Source organism: Homo sapiens, chromosome 2 (assembly GCF_000001405.40).
Source record: "Homo sapiens chromosome 2, GRCh38.p14 Primary Assembly".
NCBI classification, from domain to species: Eukaryota; Metazoa; Chordata; class Mammalia; order Primates; family Hominidae; genus Homo; species Homo sapiens.
In genome coordinates this window covers 191,593,195-191,614,363 of record NC_000002.12, presented here as the reverse complement: position 1 = coordinate 191,614,363, position 21,169 = coordinate 191,593,195, and the positions used below count along the sequence as shown (strand labels likewise).

General features: G+C 38.3%; 2 annotated features.

Moving 5' to 3' along the window:
• Positions 16,718-17,169: a transcriptional cis regulatory region, noted in NCBI's record as "candidate enhancer chr2.5925 targeted for multiplex CRISPR interference". NCBI's record gives its function as "positively regulates NABP1 gene expression with high confidence in K562 cells {active_cell/tissue: K562}" and the evidence as "EXISTENCE:mutant phenotype evidence [ECO:0000015][PMID:30612741]".
• Positions 19,947-20,241: an enhancer, noted in NCBI's record as "tiled region #3391; HepG2 Activating DNase matched - State 9:DNaseU". NCBI's record gives its function as "activates a minimal TATA promoter and a strong SV40 promoter by Sharpr-MPRA in HepG2 cells {active_cell/tissue: HepG2}" and the evidence as "EXISTENCE:reporter gene assay evidence [ECO:0000049][PMID:27701403]".

Genomic DNA, 21,169 nt, shown 5'->3' with positions numbered 1-21,169 from the left:
ATTCTTGTTCCACTATTGTGTGAAGTTTTTTCCTAATTGCCCATATTTGTGCCAACAATGCACCATCACACTATATCTCAGGTCAGTTTTTCCATCCATTCAGCTTATTGTTTTTACTAGAAACAGTAAAAATATTCTGTTGAAAGGCAGATGTTCCCAAATATTTCTGTTTTTCTTTGCTAACTTCTTGTAGCTCCGACACTTCTTAATTCATCTATTTCCTTTTTTGAACAGTGCATATTTTCAGCTGCATTCAATGAGCAGAGGGAAAAGTATGTTAGCCATTGCATGAGGCAGTATAGGTTGACAATCCCTTTTCTACCTATTTGGAAGTCCAAAGAGATTTGATAAATGAAAGACTTTTCATAACTCATTTGGCATCAAAACCTGACCTGACGTAAACTCATTTGGCAACAAAACTTGTCCTCAACTGACTTGAGGCTATTTTTAATCTCCATTGATCACAATCATTGTGAATGTTCACACATTTCACTGAAGCAATATCAATTTGTTTCATTACAGGGTGCTGCCCCACACCCCACAGGGTATCTTATGTATGATTTGATATAATTTATCTCATTATCACTCCAAGATTCAAAAAGCCTTACATTACAAAACACTTCTGGACCCTGAGGGTTTTGGATAAGTGATTTCAGGTATGTATTTTCTTTCCTTATGCTTCTCTTTTTTTAAAAGTTAATATGTTTGCCCAAGTTTAACACTTTGATTTGGTGAATGTCTATGGCCGTTTTATACAAAACCTTTGTGTATAAAATAAATTCAAGTGTTATAGAGGAAATGAAACCCCTTTTAGAAATTTATCATCACACAAAAGTCATTACACAGTATCTCCTGCCTCACCAATTGTTTCATTGTTTATTGATGGGGAGCCACTAAAACATCTACCCCAAAGGATTAATTTTTTTCCCCTCAGACAGTTTCTAAATGTGGGATACCTTTTTTCAGGCTATTGGTTATTTGATTGACTTTTTTGGAATATGTAGTTTGTAATTCTGTGTGGGATCAAATTAACCATAAGGTGATTAAAATTAGGGTGATCCCATCCTAGATAACACGGTGAAACCCCGTCTCTACTAAAAATACAAAAAATTAGCCAGGTGTGGTGGCGGGTGCCCGTCATCCCAGCTACTCAGGAGGCTGAGGCAGGAGAATTGCCTGAACCCGGGAGGTGGAGGTTGCAGTGAGCTGAGATAGCACCATTGCACTCCAGCCTGGGGGACAGAGCGAGACTCCGTCTCAAAAAAAAAAAAACTAGGGTAATCCAGATGAACCTTAAATTTCAGACTGGTCTGGATTCTCTCAATCTGAATTTTCTGTATATATTTATACAAACCCACAGGTTCATTTTCTCATTCACTGTCACATGAATGTCACACTATCTGGTATTCTGGCATGCTTTCAGGACCTTAGGTGCTAAACCGTAACATCTGAACATCTATTAAACCTGGCACTTTAGAAATTTTTTAACTGCCACAGAATTGTTATTCATTGAATGAAATTTTTCATGATAGTTGTCTGAGTCACAAAGTTTAATTCTAAAAGTCAAGGAAAAGATTCCCAAATAAAGGGTAAGGAAAAGCACCTCTGACTTAAGACATTTCCCTGCTTTTCTGCGGTAAATCAGTTGCTATGACAGTAGACTCACTCAGAGAACATGCACCTAAGTGCTTAAAATAGCTGAAGAGCACTTTTCCCTTATGAATCAGATTCTTCAAGGAATTGCTAAGTCTTCCAGCACTTATGTGAGCATTGTTTCTGCCATTAGTAACTACAGTTACATGGTGGAGTTAAACACATCCTATTGTTTGGGGTTTTTCAGTTCTAACAGAGAAAAAAGAAAGGAAATTCCTTAGTAGTTAACATGTATAGATATACGTGTCTGTTAATTTTAAGGGTCTTTTATTTGGTTCAAGGTGAAATAATTTTAATTTGAAGTCCACATTTTAAAAGCATTAATTAATCCTCACAATAGCATCTGTATGGCATACATTAATGAAATTATGCCCACTTCACAGGGGACTGATTAAAGTAAAGATGCCAAGTATATTTCTACATTAAAGTAAATTGTTATCCAGAAATAAAATTGAAGACCTCAGACTCTTAGCTCTCTGAGTAATTGCTGTATACTATGACTGCTTTTCTCCATGTACCAAGCTATTCTGGATTATTCTCAAGTTTTCCCATTTGTCTTTACTGAATGTTTGTTGGGCAAGCAATGTGGATAAGGATTCCAAGAATATATGGGAGGGCAATGGCTACCTCAGAAAATAGGGAAGGTGGACATGCCAGTCAGCCTCCCTGTGGGTTATCCACAGCTCTTCGAGTTGCCATTCTTGTTGAACAGCATCCATGGCACCTGTTCTCTTAGCTGCCCCTTCCCAACCAGTCCAGGCTGTCCTCACTCCTGAATTCTTCTGCAGAGTTTCCTCCATCCGCCATCCCTGTGCACACACTTCACTCTGCTGCCAAAAGCAACCAATCGCCTGTCAGAGTGGATGTGCATGGGGCTATTACCAAATGGGAACTGAAAGCCAGAGAATTTCATCTCCATGAGGTAACAAGGGCTACTTCTGAAAGCAGAAGTACCAGATTCGCCCTTTAGTGATGGTCCTTCAGGGTAATTATAGAGGGCAGAGAAAAACCATTAAGAAAATGGAATAATAAACTGTAGACTGGGGAATACTGAAAAGAGAAAACATGCTACAGACTTTTTGGCTTTTGTCTCTTTTTAAACAGCTATATACTTAGTTTATGTGCTAAGCACATATTTCACTAAATGGGAACTTCATTCAAGTTCCTTCATCCAATAAAATGTATTATTCTACTTCCCCTTAACCTTTTTTTTTTCAGTAAATATAGCTATAAGAAGAAATCCATTAGCATGTATTATCCATTGAGCCAGTATAGGGCTTATTAAGCTTGAGGAGAAGCCACTGAACACTACAGGCTTGGCCCTGCCCTCAGGGAGTTTCCATTTTGTGCACCTGAGATAGCCTGAGGACCCTAAAGTCTTGTTAAAGAAGTCACCTGTATAACGCTGCTTTGAAAGTTTGGCATTTGTTGAAAATGAATAAGGATATGTTGGTCTACGTTACATATTCAGAATCAAGTATCAAAATAAAATTTATAACAGGCTTTGGCATAACTCCAAGTTTGAATTATGAAGGATAAATGTTCTTGGCATTATACTGGAAGTTTTTTGGAAGAGAAGTGCTATAAAAGCAGACTCTAAGGCAGTATCTAAGATAATACTAAAACCATTGGTTGAAAATTTAAACATTTTAAAATTTGTAATAAAAAATAAGCCATTATTTCTCTGTGTTCTCTGAATGGGATTTAGCCAAAGATATATGTTAAATAATTAGTCATTTCAGTTAAAGTGATTGCACAAGTTGCTCATTTATGCAGCAATCATGGAAGAGATGCAAGTAGGAATTGCATTTTGTCTGTTTTACAAGGTCTAATTTTCACTTTTACAAGGTCTAATTTTCACTGGCAGTCCTCAATCCTTGTCCCCACTTCCTGGGAACAGATGCTACAGATCCTCTCACTTATAGGTCAACCTATACTCCCACTGTCTCTGAAGAGATGGTATAGCCTTTTCTCGTGAGCCTCTACTTGACCAACTTTATTATGAGCAGATTCTTTCTTACTAGGCTTCTTTTGAAATGTAGGCCCATTTTTTTGTTCTCTGCTCAAAAGCTACTAATATACACCCCTGTTGTTCCACTCCCCATAACTGCTTTGTCCCTAGCCAGCCTACGCCCTACCAAGGAACAATTCCCTAATTTAGGAAATCAGATCCACTGCACAAACTGACTCTGCTGTTAATGCCCCTGTGGCCACAGGTTAAATGCTTCTGCTAATATCACTGTCAAGAAATCATGTTTGAGACCTAGAGACCTGGGATGAGAAATAGGTATCAAGATCTACAGCTGCAGCCCTGTACCTCTAGATCAAGATTAGCAGGGCCACAAAGTTCAACATCCAATCAAGGATCCACTGGTCTTCCAATTCCTAAAAAAGACTGAGAAAAATAAATAGGCTTGGAGAACTGCCTGGACATTATTGTTGAATACCAACATCTAAGCCCCTTTTAATTATTTCTAACAAATAGATAAAAATCTATACAAATCTCAGGTGAGCAAGAGAACTACTATCTTGAGTTCTCTGGAAAGTGTTCAAGCTGTGAAGTTACTGGGGCATGCTGGACCAGAGACAGAGCACTCTCGGAGGCCAGTGAGCAGGCCAGGCCCACAGGGCCATCTGACCCATACAGAACACCAAACTGACTCTCAAGGGACAGTATAGAGCTGGACCCCTTCAGTGTAACTTCCTTAGAGGACAATGGCCAAACATTTGCATGAGCAGCATATGTCATTGGAGGATCCCAGCACAAGATAATTTGTGCCTATATTCTTTATTGACTCATCCCAATAAGCATTTCCTTCTGACTTACTACTAATATGTTAGCAAGTCCCACATCCTTCCATTCAGAAGTTAGTATTCTCAATTTTAATCAATTATTCCAAATATTATTCCAAATAAGAATTATTTAATCTAACAAAAATTATATTTATACCAAAAAGTGGTATAAAGATGTTTATACCATTTTTTAACCTAGCACAATAAAGGATACCAGTGTTACGTATGTGGGTCTCTAGAACAAAGACATTCTGTGAGTTTGATCACCTTATGGTCTAGAGTTCACAGAGGCTGAACAAAAGCATCCAATCGTATCAGTTTTTATATATACCCTTCCAATTTTCCTTCACACACATATATTTATACATGCATGGCACTATTATCTATGAAATAAAAAAACTGGAAGTAACCTAAATGTCCAAAATTAGGAAAAATTTTTATCTAACTATACTATGGCCAATTGCTGAAATATTATGTAGCTGTTCCAATAATCCTTATAAATGTTATACAACAATGGTGGAAAAGAACTTTAATATACATTTAAGTGAAAAGACTAGCATACAAAATTATTTGTATGCAATGAAACAACCTATGTAAAAATAAATGCACATGGTGGGGATGAGGGGACTGGAAAGGTATACAAAAACCTACTAATAGTTGATGTTTTAGGGTAATATGCTAATAGATCATTTTCTCTTTATTTAAAAAAATGTTCATAATGTTGCTACATTGGCTTTACACAAAATTAAGCATATTATACATATACACATGTGTGCCTCTTTCAAGACAGTTCAGAACTATGCTAGGCCTTGGATTTTAATATTATGTCTTAGAAATACAAGTAATAAAAGATTTTATGCAAACTGGATTAAACCTAAGAGAATTTATGAAACTACGTCGCTAGAAAGTTCAGAGTGTGGACCATTCTCAGGTTGAACTGCTCCAGAGATTCATGGGGTCCTCAGTGCTGTGGCTCCCTTGCTCTTGACACTGCCTTCCTGCTTTTGTCACACTTCTTTCCTTGTGGTAGAAAAATGACTGCAGCAGCTCCATATTGGTTAGAGAAATAACAAGATCAAGTCTTCCGCCAACATCAGACAGCAATCTTTGCTTCCCTCTGTTTGGACCAAAGTAGATCAATTGCCAAGGCCAAGGAACTATTACATGGGCTTCAGGTGAAACGATGCCATCCACACATCAATCTGTTACTGTCCACAAATATTTGGCTGGCCCTCCCTATCAGAGGACACTACTTCCCTACCTCACTGACATCAGGTTTGGCTATAACTTGCTCTGGCTATTGAAATACAAAATACCACTCTTCAACAACGAAATGTGACCTAGTTGTTCAGCAGCACTATTGGCTTCACTAAAGCGGTTTTGTTCCTTCTCTCAGGTATTATACAAGCGTTCAGAGCCAGTGTGTTGTTTTCTGTGCTCCCCTTCCCCTCTGCTACAACTCCAGACAGACAGAGGCTTCATGTCAGCCTGAGTTCTAGTGAATCTGTAATTGAGTGGAGCCAAAGCCCACCAACAATGTACATGCAGCGTGAGCTACACCTTCGTTATTATAAGCTGCTGAGATTTGAGAGTTGTTTGTTGCTGTACCATAACTTAGCCTATCCTTACTGGGCTAAAGTCCCTGCTTAACCATTTCCTAACTTTGTGACCTTGGAAAATTTACTTCATTTTTCTGAACTTTAGTTTCTTTATTGGTAAAATAAAGTTGATGTTTAAAATTCCTGGTATATACTCAAAAATGACAATTACTATTTATTAATGCTAAGAATTATAATTCTCACTGCAGTGGTGGAATTTTCTTCTAATTTATCTTCTGAAAGAGGAGTTATATTATATTCCTTTTTACTAAGGCAAAGTTACAGACTCAAAGTCTCAGTATATTCACTGATCATCTGTAGATAGAAAAAAATTCTTCCCCAAGATATGAATCTTAGTACCTTGGAATGCTCTTTTTTTTAAGAAGTAAAAAAGATTAACCCAAAATTTCATACAGGAAAAATGCTTTTTCACGCTCAATACCAAAATGTGATATAGCTATTCAACATTGCAGTTGACTTCACTGGAGTAATTTTGTTCCTTCTCTGAGTTATCTGTTATTGAAGATAGTCAAGCACAGATATTGAAATAGATTATTTTTCCATTCCATTGTGAAAACCTTTGTGTTTCCTGCACCCCTTCCCATAAAGTGATGAATTCTATAATGTGAGATAGAGAGTGACAGAGAAAGGGATTATAGTCAGAGAAATGCAATTTAAAAGTAAAAATTCCACTTTCTCTTTTAATTGAAATTGTAATTACATTTAGACTTGAATCTAGCTTGGCTTGATTTCATAATCAATAATTATTTTACATTATGCAACACATTTTCTATCTTAAACATCCATCATTGACATCTGATACCTAGTAAATTCTTTCAGATATTGTAGGTTTTATCTTGCTTAGTTTTCTGGTATCCAGTAATTAAGATATGAGACAGTTGTTTGTCCCTTTAGATGAAAAATGTGTGACTGAAAAAATTAGCACAAGCTAAATCATGGTTTAAATGCATTACAGCAGTAGTTCCCACACAATGTTATGCAACAGAACAACCTGGAACTTTACACATACACCCACACACATTCTCTCTCTCTCTTCTGGGCCCTGCCCCAGGATATATGTATTGCAATCTCCCAAAGCAGAACTCAAACATTTTTTTTCCTAAAAAGCTCCTGAGACACCAAGATTTTGGTTTCTAAATACCATTGCCAAGATGGGCACGGTGGGACACACCTGTAATCCCAGCACTTTGGGAGGCTGATGCAGGAGGATTGTTTAAGCCCAGGAGTTCGAGACCAGCCTGGGCAACATAGGGAGACCCAGTGTCTACAAAAAAACAAACAACAACAAAAAAACCACTATTGCCCACTAAAAGAATCCAGTGACTCCTTAGTGAAATAGGGCTGAGGTGGGAAAAACCTGAGCTTAGAACATTTTTTTGTGCCAGAAAGTAAAAAATTCCTCAAAATGATGGAGATCACGTCAAAGGAAACAGAAGCAAGCAGACTCTTGCAGGCCAGGTGTAGCAAAATTTGATCATGAAAATAAAACTAATAATAGGTTATAACCCAGCGAATAAAATAAGAATCAATACGTCTATATTGTTAAGACGAAAGGATGAAGGAAGGAAAGAAGGGAGAGAGAGAAGCTCTTAAAACAGAATGCTAACTAAAAAATTTAGAAGGAATGATGAAATTAGAAAATCAGTTGAATTAGAATTATCAATAAATACTAAAACTAATGGGTGAGAATTGTGATGAGGAATAAAATATTTACATAGTCTTCCCACAAATTACTTTTTAATGCCAAAGAGAAAATAATAACTTCACAGTGAAACAAGCTGGCAGCCACCAAATGTACTCGCTTGAATGGTGACCCCCGAAAGATATGTCCACATATTAATTGCCAGGACCTGGGATGTGACCTTATTTGAAAAAAAAAAAAAAAATGGTGGGGTGGGGGGGATCTTTGCTGATGTAATTAAACTAAGGATCTTGAGATCAGATCAGTTGGGATTACTTGGACGGACTCTAAATCAATGACAAATGTCCTGACAAGAGACAGAAGAGAAGACATGGACAAAGAGAAGGAGGGGACGACCATGCAGAGATGGAGGCAGTGATGAAGTGATGCAGCCACAGGAATGCTGGCAGAAGCTGGGAGGCGCAAAAAGGATTCTCCCCTAGACCCTCCAGAGGGTGTAGGGTCTAGCGACACCTTGATTTTTGGACTTCTGCCCTCCAGACAGTGAGAGAAGAACTTCATACCTTTTTTAAGTGATCCAGTTAGTGATGATTTGTTATGGCAGCCCTAGGAAACTAATATACATCCTAATCAAATGATCAGCGTTAACCTCACCAATAAAGGGATTTACCTTCATCAAGTGGCTCCTGAGGAGATGCACTGAGAGGTTTACAGCATTACTCACTAATGTTTGTGTTAAAATTGCATAACGTGAATCTAATCATGAGGAAATATCAGACAAACTCAAATCAAGAACCATTCTATAAAATAATTAGCCTGTACACTTGAAAAATACTAAGGTTATAAAAAACAATGAAAGGCTAAGAAATTGTTCTAAATTAAAGGCGACTAAAGAGATACAACCATAAAATACCATGTGTATCCTTTATTGAATTGTGGACAGTGACGAAGTAGTCACAAGGGACATTTTGGGATAACTGGCAAAGCTTGAATATGAGCTGTGGATTAGATAATATTGTAGTAATCTTAAATTTCCTGTTTTTGCTAATCCTACTGGGATTATGTATGAGAATGTCCTTGTTCTTAGGAAATAAACACTGAATATTAAGGGGCAAGGGAGCATCCTGTATCCAACTTATTCCCAAATGAGTCAAAGTGAAATATTTATGCATATATGTAGAGAAAGAATGAAAAGCACATCTGGCAAATACTAACAATTGGTACATGAGAGTTCTGTGTATTGTTATTGCAATTTTTCAGTAATTTTGAAATTATCTCAAAATAAGACTTTTTTAAAAAAAAAGGCTTACTACAGTATTATAATGTGTAACTAGTTATGAAAACCACTGCATTAGAGCTCCCCTCATAAGGCAGTCATTCTCAAATGGGATGATTTTTGCCTCCCAGAGGACATTTGGCAATGGCTGAAGACATTTTTGATTGTCATGACCGCACAGGGTAAGGAGAATAGGGTCTGGGGATGTGCTACTGGCATCTAACTTGCAGGGGCCAGGGATGCTAAACATTGCAAAATGCACAGACAGCTCCCCACGCAAGTAATTAGCCCGAAATGTCAATAGTGCCACTGTTAAGAAACCTTGCTTTAAGGAAATTATACACCTTCACTAATATAATCAGATTCTAAATACCCATAGGAAATAACACCAAACTTGTATAGATTTAGATTAGTTACTACAGCAAAATTTTATATCAACAAAAGATTCCCACTTTGTAGGTAAAAATACATTTGCATTTCAAGACTTAGCAATCACAAACAGAATGCATACAGAAAATCATTTCACCCCATGCATCAGACAAGAGTAGTAGAGGATTGGAGAAGCATAGAAGTTCAGCTCATCCATTTTAACAGCAACCAAGTGTCTTTTATACAATTGGACAATAAATCCACAGAAAATGTGATTTCAAGGCTTTAGAACAGCTCTGTGAAAAAGATAAATAGACTTTTCTCAAACTTATGACTATACTCATAAAGCAGTATAAATATGTTACATTTACAGGTTACCTGTGGTAATCCATATCATTTCTTTCAAAACCTAATGAGATTTCCAGTTGTTATATTATTAGCATAGGAGGGCTACACAAATCTCACCATAACTAATAAGGGATGAATTCGACAGTATTAGTCAAGCTTTTGCATAACAGATAACCCCCAAATCTTAGTGACTCTCAACAGCAGACATTCATTTCTCACTCATGGGTCTGCACACCTGCTGGGTTGACTCGACTTCAAGTTCAGGTCTGCTCTGCATGTCTCTCACTCTAGGACCAATGGTTACCAGAACAGATGGCTGCTACCTCATGGCAGCTAACAGAAGCTCAGGAACCTAGGCCAAACTCTGCAAGCACATTTAAAGCCTCACTCACATCACATCTGTTAATGTTCCACTGGCCAAAGCATATCATGACCCAGCCTGAAGACATCGGAGCAGGGATGCATACTTTGTAGAATGCTACTGGATGACGCTGCAATGTCATATCCACATGGCTATAGATATATAATCCTGTTACACAGAAGCAGAGAGGACTTGAGAACAATAACATAATCTATCATATACTACTAAAGGCAGTTTACAATAGCGGTCACTTTTAATGGGACCTTTCTGATGTTACTTACACTTATTATGTTAAGACGGGCTGGCAAACTTTTTTAGTAAGAAACTGACAAGTAATTATTTTTGGCTTTGCGGGACATACAGTCTTTGTTAAAACTCTGATGTTGGAGCATGAAAGCAGCCATAGACAATATGTAAACAAATGTACCTGCACTCCAATAAGATTTTGTATATGGGCAATGAAACTTGAATTTCATATAATTTTTATGTTACAAGATGTTATTTTTTTCAGTCATCTAAAAATGTAAAAATGATTCTTAGCTGGAGGGCTATACAAAAACAAATGATTCACCAAATTTGATCCATGAGCTGTAGTTTGGCAGCCCCTGAATTATACCATCAACCAGCAAAGCACTTGATGTTTATTCATCACAGAAGATGGTACAATAGAAAGAAAATGCAATAACCAAGGAATTTACAATATCATTGAGGATATAGAATACATACATGTAAAAACTATTTTGAAATCTTTGAAAAATAATATATATGGTAACACAAGTCCTACGCCACAAATCATAGGAGGCATGGTGCCAAGAAGAAGTTATTCACATATAGTAAGTAAGACAGAATTCCTTGCAAAACTAAGTTTTGTAGATGAGGACATGGGTGCATTGAAAGTTTACTCAATTATTTCTTCATATACAGAGAAAAATACTTTTAGAAATAATAAGTTCCAATAGTATAGTCTATCTTATTTTATGAATTTTTCTTAAATATAAAGTATTTGACAAAAACTGTATATATTTTAAATGTACAATGTGATTTGATGTGTGAATACATTGTCAAATGATTACAACAATCAAATTAATTAACACATCCATCACCACATATAATTACGTGTGAGGAGGAGCAGTTGTTTTCTACTGTCTTAGCAAATTTCAACCTAAATAAAACGTTGTTAAAATTGTTAATATTGCAAAGTAGTCAGTATAATACCAAAATGTTGAAAATAGAAAGTCACTCTATCATCCCACCAACCAAACATATCCTCTGCTAACAGCAGTATATATAATTTTAGTTTTCTCTATACATACACATACATATTTGATTGTTACTTATTAAAATATTTCATTATACCTAGTGTTTCACAATTTGCTTTTTTTTTTTTTTTTTTTTTCCTAAAGACGGGATCTTGCTCTGTCACAAAGGCCGGAGTACACTGGGCAAACACAGTTCAGTGCAGCCTCAACCTCCCAGGCTCAAGCAATCTTCCAGCCTCAGCCTCCCAAGTAGCTGGGACTACAGGCACACACCACCAAACCTGGCTGATTTTTATATTTTTTGTTGAGATGGGGTTTCACCATGTTGCTCAGGCAGGTCTCAAACACCTGAGCCCAGCAATTTGCCCACCTCAGGCCCCTAAAGTGTTAGGATTATAGGCATAAGCCACCGCGCCCGGCTTGCTTTTTTTTTTCATTTAGCAATACATCCTGAACATCTTGCCATGTCAGTATGAATAGATTTATCTAATTTTAATTGTTGCATATTATTTTGTAGCACATGAATACCATCATTTATTAAGTCCCTTGTTGAAGTATATCTAGGTTATTTCTAATTTTCCCCTATAATATGTAAAGTTGTGATAAACATCCTTGTGACTAAATCTTCAAATTAACCATTAATTTCTAAGGAAAAATATCTAAAGGTGGAATTTCTGGGTCAAAGCATATGACATATTGTTTTCAAAAGATTTTTCTTAATGTTATCTGGTATTAAAATCAAAATAGTTGGCCGGGCAAGTGGCTCATGCCTGTAATCCCAGCACTTTGGGAGGCCAAGGCGGATGGATCTCAAGGTCAGGAGTTCAAGAGCAGCCTGGCCAATATGGTGAAACCCTGTCTCTACTAAAAATACAAAAAATTAGCCGGGCATGGTGGCAGAAGAATAGCTTGAACCTGGGAGGCAGAGGTTGCAGTGAGCTGAGATAGTGCCACTGCACTCCAGCCTGGGTGACACAGCGAGACTCTGTCTTAAATAAATAAATAAATAAATAAATAAATAAATAAATAAATAAAATCAAGGTAGTCAATGTTAGGCAGTCGGTTGGGGATAAGGGGATTTGCAATATTGACCACATAGAGCAAAAGTAATATAGTAATGTATGTGGTTTATATGTGTATATAAACAGGGAGAGGAGGGGACAAGAGGGGAACAGAGAGAAGAGAGGGAAAAAGAGAAGGGAGGAAAAAAGAGGGGAAAAGAGATATATTGCTGCATTCTGCAATATTTAATGTAAGAATCACCCAAATCCAATGTAGAACACTACTCAGATGTTATAAAGACTTACTTGTGGAAGTAGGAGAACAGTTTCTAAACCGCAGGTTTTACTCTGATTGATTTGTAAATGAAATAAAAAGGCAAATCCCCTCAAATCAGAAGCTCTCTCAGTGTTGTACAAACTTAGCTAGTGACTTCTATAAGATGCACAAATATACAGCTAGTGTTGTAGGGCTTTATAATTTTTAGCAGAACTTTATGAATGTTACTTCTTTCCTTTTCTCAATAAATCATTAAGAGCAGTGGTTCTCAACAGGGGTGGGTGGCTGTTACAGTTTGTTATATTTGCTATGTAACAAATCACCCCAAAACTCAGTGGCTGAAAACAACCATTTATTATTACTGCTCTTCCTTGTGTGGGTCAGCTGGGCTAGAATGGGCTCTTCTACGCAGCTGTAGTCAGATGTTGTCTGAGGTCAAAGGGATGACCTCACTGGATGAATGACCAGGATGGCTCCCTCCCACGGCTGGCAATGGATGTTAGTTGTTGGCTATGAGCTCTGAGTGTGCCAACCTGAGGGGCCACATGTGATCTCTCTTTGCAGCTTGTGACCCTAACAGGATGGCAGCTGTGTTGTAAGAGGGTATGTCCCAAGAGTAAGCACTCCAAAACTCCCGGGTAGAAGCCACAAGGCTTCTTATGATCTAACCTTGAAGGTCCTAGAAAATTTCTTCTACTGCAAATCATTCAGTTCAGCAAATCATTCAGGAATGCCCAGAAGCAAGAGGAAAAAAAATTAGACTCTACCTCTCGGTGGGAGAGCAGCAAGTCCCATGGCAGAAGAGCATGCGGGATGGGAGCTGTTATTTTGGCCGTCTTCAGAAGGTACAATCCAATCTGCCACAGTGGGGGAGTTGACAGGAGCCCTCTGAAGTTATGGAAAAAGATGTTTACATCTTTTTCACAAGGGAACCCTGACATTAATAAGATTCTCAAAGGGATCTGGGGCAGAGGAGAGGGAGGAAGAGGGAATGAGAGAAGGAGAAGAAACAATCACTGATCTAGGTAGATTATAGGCTGTTACATAATGAAATTTATTTTATACACTAATATTCCTCCTAAGGTTTCAGGATATTTAATCTCTGCCACTTACTTGGAATTGCTCCTCATCTAGCTATGATTCACTAAGAAACTCAGCCAATTAAAATTTTAAAGAAATCAGAATAATTCTGACAGTGTGACTATAATACTTAAATGAACCTGGATGGATACACACACACACATATATAAATGTTCCAGATTTTAAACAGGGGCCGGGGGGTGCTGATTAAGTAGGATTGTATTATATGTTGGGCAACTATTCCCATTAGAACTACCTACATTTGATAGAAAGAGAGCTCTAATCAAGTATTAGTATTCTGCATACAGTTAGGGTGAAATTTTTAGACCCCTGAAGCACAATCCTGCACAGTGCAGCTACGGATTTCCATCATAGAGGATGAGATTTGATTACTTTTATCTCAGCATATGCAACTATTGTTATTACTCACAAACATTATTAGACTCTGTGATGCCCAGAATATGTGACTACCTCAGACAAGCTCTATTTTGAGTTAGAACTGTTACTGGAAAGGGGTCCTGATCCAGAACCCAAGAAAAGGTTCTTGGATCTTGTGCAAGAAAGAATTCAGGGTGAGTCCATAAAGTGAAAGCAAGTTTGTTAAGAAAGTAAAGGAATAAAAGAATGACTACTCCATAGAGCAGCCCTAAGGGCTGCTGGTTGCCCATTTTTATGGTTATTTCTTGATGATATGCTAAACAAGGGGTGGATTATTCATGTCTCCCCTTTTTAGACCATATAGGGTAACTTCCTGATGTTGCCATGGCATTTGTAAACTGCCATGGCACTGGTGGGAGTGTAGCAGTGAGGACGAACAGACGTCACTCTCGTGGCCATCTTGGTTTTTGTGGGTTTTGACCAGATTCTTTATTGTAAACGGTTTTATCAGCAACGTCTTTATGACCTGTATCTTGTGCTGACCTCCTATCTCATCCTGTGACTTAGAATGCCTTCAGTGTCTGGGAATGCAGCCCAGTAGGTCTCAGCCGTATTTTACCCAACCCCTATTCAAGATGGAGTTGCTCTGGTTCAAACACCTCTGACAGAACTATTTCTGTTTATACCCCTATACTTGCTACTAGTTTCATGAACTTCAATGAAGGTGAGAAGGAGAGGGCAGAGAGTTTGGGAAGGAGTGCAGGAATCAGAAGCCAGCTGCATTCTTCACAAGACGTCAGTAGAAACACTAAGCACTCAACTTACTAACCACACTCTTTTGCTAGAATGCATATGCACATGTGAACATTCAAGATACAGAAATAACCAGGAAAGTAGAAGGTTTCTTCTGCTGTAGTTGAGGTTGCTCTTAAGTGTTTTTTGTCATGAGACAAAAGAGGTCATCATGCTTCGTGATAACCACGAGGCATGGTCATGTTCCCAACTGCCGTTTATTCAAGCAGTGGCTTTTTTAAACAGACTGGGTAGTTGTACCAGAAAATTCTGGATTCTGCAGATTTTTTTCAATCTGTTTCCATGTCCTATAACCTATAAGTTACATATGAAGGCTTGGTTAGATTCAGGGCTAAAATTTGTGGCATGGATGCTTCACAGGTGGTACTATGTGCTTCATATTACATCCCATCAGAAAGTAAATAATACCCATTTGCCCTGCTTACAATGGTGCTAAGACTCATCAATAGATTCAGGTGGTGACTGCCTGATCCCTGGTTGTAAAGTAGTTGTGTGACCCTTTGGCACCCTCGGAATGTCCAGCTCCTCATTAATATTTTAATTTTTAGTCTCAGCATCCATTGATATTCATTTCCTAAAATAGTGATTTCGCTACATGTTGTAAAATGTTGATTTTTCTATCATTCTTTCTACATTTATCAGAATACTTCTGTCCGAACAGCTCTCTCTCTCATCAACTATTTTGTGACTTAAAAATAGAATTTTCACAGAAAATGCAGATCAAGACCTAATTCTTTCCTCTTAATTATTAATTTTTAGAGTACGAAGTTGATGGACTACCTCCAGCTGTGACAAATGAGTTGTGTTTGTTACTTTGGCTTTCTCTTTGGGATATTATAAATTCATGAATTTTTATTTAATTAATGAGTTTCAATAAATTGCCATCATTTTTCTTTTTGATGGTGAAATTGTCCACCATTGGCCAGTGGTCAGCTTCCTTACTTTCCAGCATAATAAGGTGATTCATTCTCAGTTTGTCATTTCCCACCTCACCCCTGGAACCAGTTATTCCTCCAAGAACTACTTGTGCTAAGTAGAGAATAGCATTCAGAGCCCATCATGTAGGTGTTAACACTCTCATGTTACTGGGTTCTCATTGCTTCTGGATTTTTTAAAAAACATTTTAAAGACATTATGAACTTATATTTATATCCCAAATTCAAATATTCAAATATGTTTGAATATTTTATATGTCAAATTCAAGTTTCAATTTCAAATATTCAAATAGTTCACTTTCAAATTTAATAAAAAAAACCCAAGTTTTTCTTTTAAATTTTATACTCGTGGCCAGGTGCAGTGGCTCACGCCTGTAATCCCAGCACTTTGGGAGGCTGGGGCAGGTGGATCACCAGGTCAAGAGATTGAGACCATCCTGGCCAACATGGTGAAACCCCGTCTTTACTGAAAATACACAAATAAGCTGGGTGTAGTGACATGGGCCTGTAGTCCCAGCTACTCGGGAGGCTGAGGCAGCAGAATCACTTGAACCCGGGAGGCGGAGGTTGTAGTGAGCTGAGATCGTGCCACTGCACTCCAGCCTGGTGACAGAGTGAGACTCCATCTCAAAAAAAAAAAAAAAGAAATTTATACTCGTTATCTCCTTTCTCTTACAGTGAAAATTACGATTTCTAAAAATATTGACATTAATTTTTTATTTATAAGTATTGTATACATAAGTCTCAAAATATAAATATAATATGGTCTATTAAAATATATAGATACTAATATTACTACTAACAAAAATTTGTGTTTTTGTCAGATTTTATTCCATTAATGATATGTAATATAACCTATATTCTAAAATACCCAGTGGACCTGACTAACTGCAGGTAGAAGCCTTTCCTTTGAGGAAAAGAAAAGGTCTGGCCAGGACGATGGTCAAGATGGCTTCATTTACCTTATCTCCCCTCTCCCCAAAAACCCTGAGAAGAGAAGACGGGCTAAGGTGAGCAGTGTGTGGGGATATGTTAGCCTGTTGACAGGTATCCCGAGAAACTCTGAGTCCCACCCTTCGGGATGGTCGGGTGATGGTGGCAGCCCAGGAGATATGCCTGAAGACATGCTGAACAAAGACAGATGAAATACGAGATGCGTGTTTATCTGTGCACAGTGTCTGTGCAGCGACTGCAACCATGAGATAGCCAGACATTTCACCACAGTGATGAAAATGTTTCGTTGCAGTTTGACACTTAAAGATAGAATAAACTGCATAAATAAAAAGCATATACTCCCATCCCCACCCCTAGATCATCCAAAATATTTTTCTGGACAGCATGTGGCACCAGCCTGACATTTTGGGGTGCATCACAGGGCTCATTGCTATTATCTATCATGTTCTTCTCAAGTTGACATTTAAGCACCTTATCGCCACACATGAGAAAAAAGATCCCGTTTCTTTGGACTGTGTTTTTTTCAGCCTGTGATTCAGAAGCACTGATATGCTGCTCTTTTAATTTTGAACCGTACTCCCATTTCTGCTGGGAGGCAGCAACGTGGAAAATAACAGGTGAGGCTTGCAGCCCTCAGGAAATAGCAGGTGGGAAGAGTGATCAGGAAAAGCAAGGAAGGCTTTGGTTTTCTTTAGGTAATCTGAAATGTTTCTGCCTCTTTGAGACACCATGAGCTGACAGAGGCTTGTTTTCTTCTCTTCTCACCTTCTCCCCTTCTGTTTTGCCCACACCCTTCTTTTCAGGCTCAGAGAGGTGAAGAAACTTGCTCAAGTTTGATTCTCTATCTCTAATTAATTAAGCCTGGCCCCTAGGAGCCTGCTGCTTCACCTCACACAGTCTGCCCCCACGTTGTAATGCATCAACATTAATTACTGGGAGCAATGTGGACATTTTGTTTCCCATTTTTCTAGCCCTTTCCTTAACCCTTTATATTCATAAAAATTTGCTTAAAAAATAGTGTCAATTAATAATGTGCAGAAGCATCCTAAAGAGGGAGGTTGCTAGAAATAGCAGGTCCTCTCTCTTGTATTTAAATTCTGATCTAATAAGATCAGATCTAGTAGTGGGGCTCTAGTGGTACTAATGAAGGAAGTCCAAGGTTTGTCCCTCAAGGAACAATGGCTTGAACATTAAGTCTTAAAGTATGACGAGTGGAGAAAACAGCTAAAGGATAACTCTTAGATCCTGTCTACGCTCTCACTCAACTGGGGCAACCTCAGTGGTACGTAGCAAATTTGTATGTACCTTGTACATTGGAATACTACTCAGCAGTAAAAAGGAATGAACCACTGATACACACAACAGGATTGAATTTCAAAAGCATTACACTGAGCCGAAGAAGCCGGACACAAAGGAGTGCATACAGAGAGAAAACAGATCAGTGGTTATTTGAGGAAGGGAGAGTGTCTGATGAGAAAGGAGTTTGGGGGAATTTTCTGGGAGATGAAAATATCTGTCTTGATTGACAATGGTGTATATTACAGGAGTGCATGTCTTTGTCAAAAATAGATCTAATCGTACATTTATGATCTATGTACATCATTGTAAGCAAATAATACCTTAATAAGTGTTTTATCTTGAATTATATGGGGTAATGATAATTTTTTTACCAATTCATATCTTTAAAAGTACATAACAGGCCAAAAAAGAAGACTTACACGTTAGAAAAAGATCTAATACAGTGCTGCACACATGGTAAGCACTCAATAAAAATGTTATTTATGATGAATAACTATGCAAGAGTAGTTCATTACGAAGAGCTCTTTCTTACAAGATGCCTCCTTTCAGCCCAGCAATATAGTCCAATTCGGCACTGTGTACAAGATTAAAGTTTCCCAGCCCTATATAAATATTTCCAGTAATCTTCTATTCCATCAATCCAGTTATACAGCCTTTTCATGGGAGCACAATAAATAAAATCAATACATTTTATTACTTCGATTCAAAGGCATAAGGCTGTCTGCAATGTTGATCCAAACTTTAGGGAGTTCTTTCTGAGGAAAGGGCACTGCTAAAATTTTGTGTGAATAAGAAAAGCTATCCTTAAATCTTAAGAATTTCTTAGATTGAAAAAAATACATATAAGGGCTATCAATCTCTATGTATGATCTCTACTGGATAAATATAGTGGGGAGAGGGGGCACCAGCTAGTCTTCCAAAGAAATACATTTTCTGAAAATATATAGTGGATGAATTTTATATTTCTATAATAAAAAAAAGTGTCCACTACCAAGTCTCAGGCAAATTGGACAGATTACTTAGTAGTACTTACTTTTCTTAATTGTGCTGAGGTCATAATGTATCTGTGACTATCTTCCTTTATTTTTAATATTTTTACTCACTTTAAGGAGTATAACAAAGAAAATTAAGTAACCAAAAAATCAAAAATGCAAATCAAATTGTAAGCTTCAGGTTAAAAGAAAATAATTTACTGTTAGGTTATATCTCCACAATGCTAAGTATGAGTCTGAAAACATTCTTTATCAACAAGAACTGCCCCCAATATTTTCAGTTGTTTTGTCTCTAGAGGATTCACATATAGAGAAGAAATAAGCAATAAAGCATTATAGGACAGCTATTACAGGAAAAACATGATTTTCTGTTTCAATTTCTAGAAGATAAATTTCGTTTTGTTATTATACTTTAAGTTCTGGGGTACATATGCAGAATGTGCAGATTTGTTACATAGGTATACATGTGCCATGGTGGTTTACTGCAGGAAGATAAAATTTTTAAAGGAAAAAAATAGAAATGATGAAAAAGTAAGGGCAACTCAAAAACTGGGGGAAAGTTTTAAATCCCGTGACCACATAGAAACATTTCCATTTTTTGGCCGGATGTGGTGGCTCACCACCTGTGATCCCAACACTTTGGGAGACTGAGGCAGGCGGATCATCAGAGGTCAGGAGTTCAAGACCAGCCTGACCAACATGGTGAAACTCCATCTTTACTAAAGATACAAAAATTAACAGGCAAGGTGGTGCAAGCCTATAATCCCAACTACTTGGGAGTCTGAGGCAGAGAATCGCTTGAACCGGGGAGGCAGAGATTGCAGTGAGCCAAGATCGTGCCACTGCACTCCAGCCTGGGCAACAGAGTGAGACTCCATCTCAAAAAAAAAAAAAAAAATAGAAAGAAAAAAGAAACATTTCCATTTTGTAATCAAAGAATTAGAACTTTCACAATTCAAACTTTATTTATTCCAGGAATCTCAAAATGGGATATCCTGAACCAGCAGCACCCAGAGACTTGTTAGAATTGCACATCCCAGGCCTCACTCAGTCCAAATGAGTCAGAAATTCTAGGGACGGGACCCAGCATCTGTGTTGAAACAAGCCCTCCAGGTGATTCTGTTGCAGAGTAAAGTCCGAGAACCACTGACTCATTCCAAAAACATTTGCTGGGTGCCCACTGTGTGCCAGCCTCTGAAAAAAGAATTAGAGATACAAAAATGAAGATTTATTATGATCTATAGTTTAATTGGTCACCAAAAATGGAATATTTGCTCATAGTTTTTTGAATACGAGAGAGTTGCCTGGGCACAGCTGGATCAGGTAGGACCACCAAGATCCTGAGGCTGCTATGGAGGTTGGGGCAGTGGTGCTTAGTCAGAATCCCCTGGGAGGATTTTTTCACCAACACAAGCCTTGTCCCTCCCCAGGCCTCTGGAATCACAGTCTCTGGGAGTGAGGCTCAGGAAAGCGGTATTTTGTTAATTCCCCCCAGTAACTCTGATGTCCACCCTGAGTCCACCCTGAGTTAATCATGCTACTGCTGTACAGTTGTGTGGGTTCTGTGGTTTTTTTCATCACTGCCCTCCCGTCATCTTCTGTAGGTATGCTCTAGGGCCCACCTGAACTGAGTCACCTATGGCAGCACTGCTAGGGACAGGGGAATGGGAGTTTGCACACACATGAGGGAACATCTGCCCATTTGAACCACAGATCTACTGAATCTGAATCAGAATCTTTGAAGGCAGGCCTCCAGAGCATGTATTTTTTTAAACAAACCTCCTGGAGGTTTTGGGGTTTTTTTTTTGTTGGTTTTTTTGTTTTTCCGAGACAGAGTCTCACTCTGTCACCCAGGCTGGAGGGCAGTGGCGCTATCTTGGCTCACTGCAACCTCCATCTCCCGGGTTCAAACAATTCTCCTGCCTCAGCCTCCCGAGTACCTGGGATCACAGATGCGTGCCACCATGCCCGGCTAATTTTTGTATTTCTAGTAGAGACGGGGTTTCACCATATTGGTCAGGCTGGTCTCGAACTCCTGACTTCATGATCTGCCCGCCTTGGCCTCCCAAAGTGCTGGGATTACAGGCATGAGCCACCGCGCCCGGCCACCCCCTGGAGAT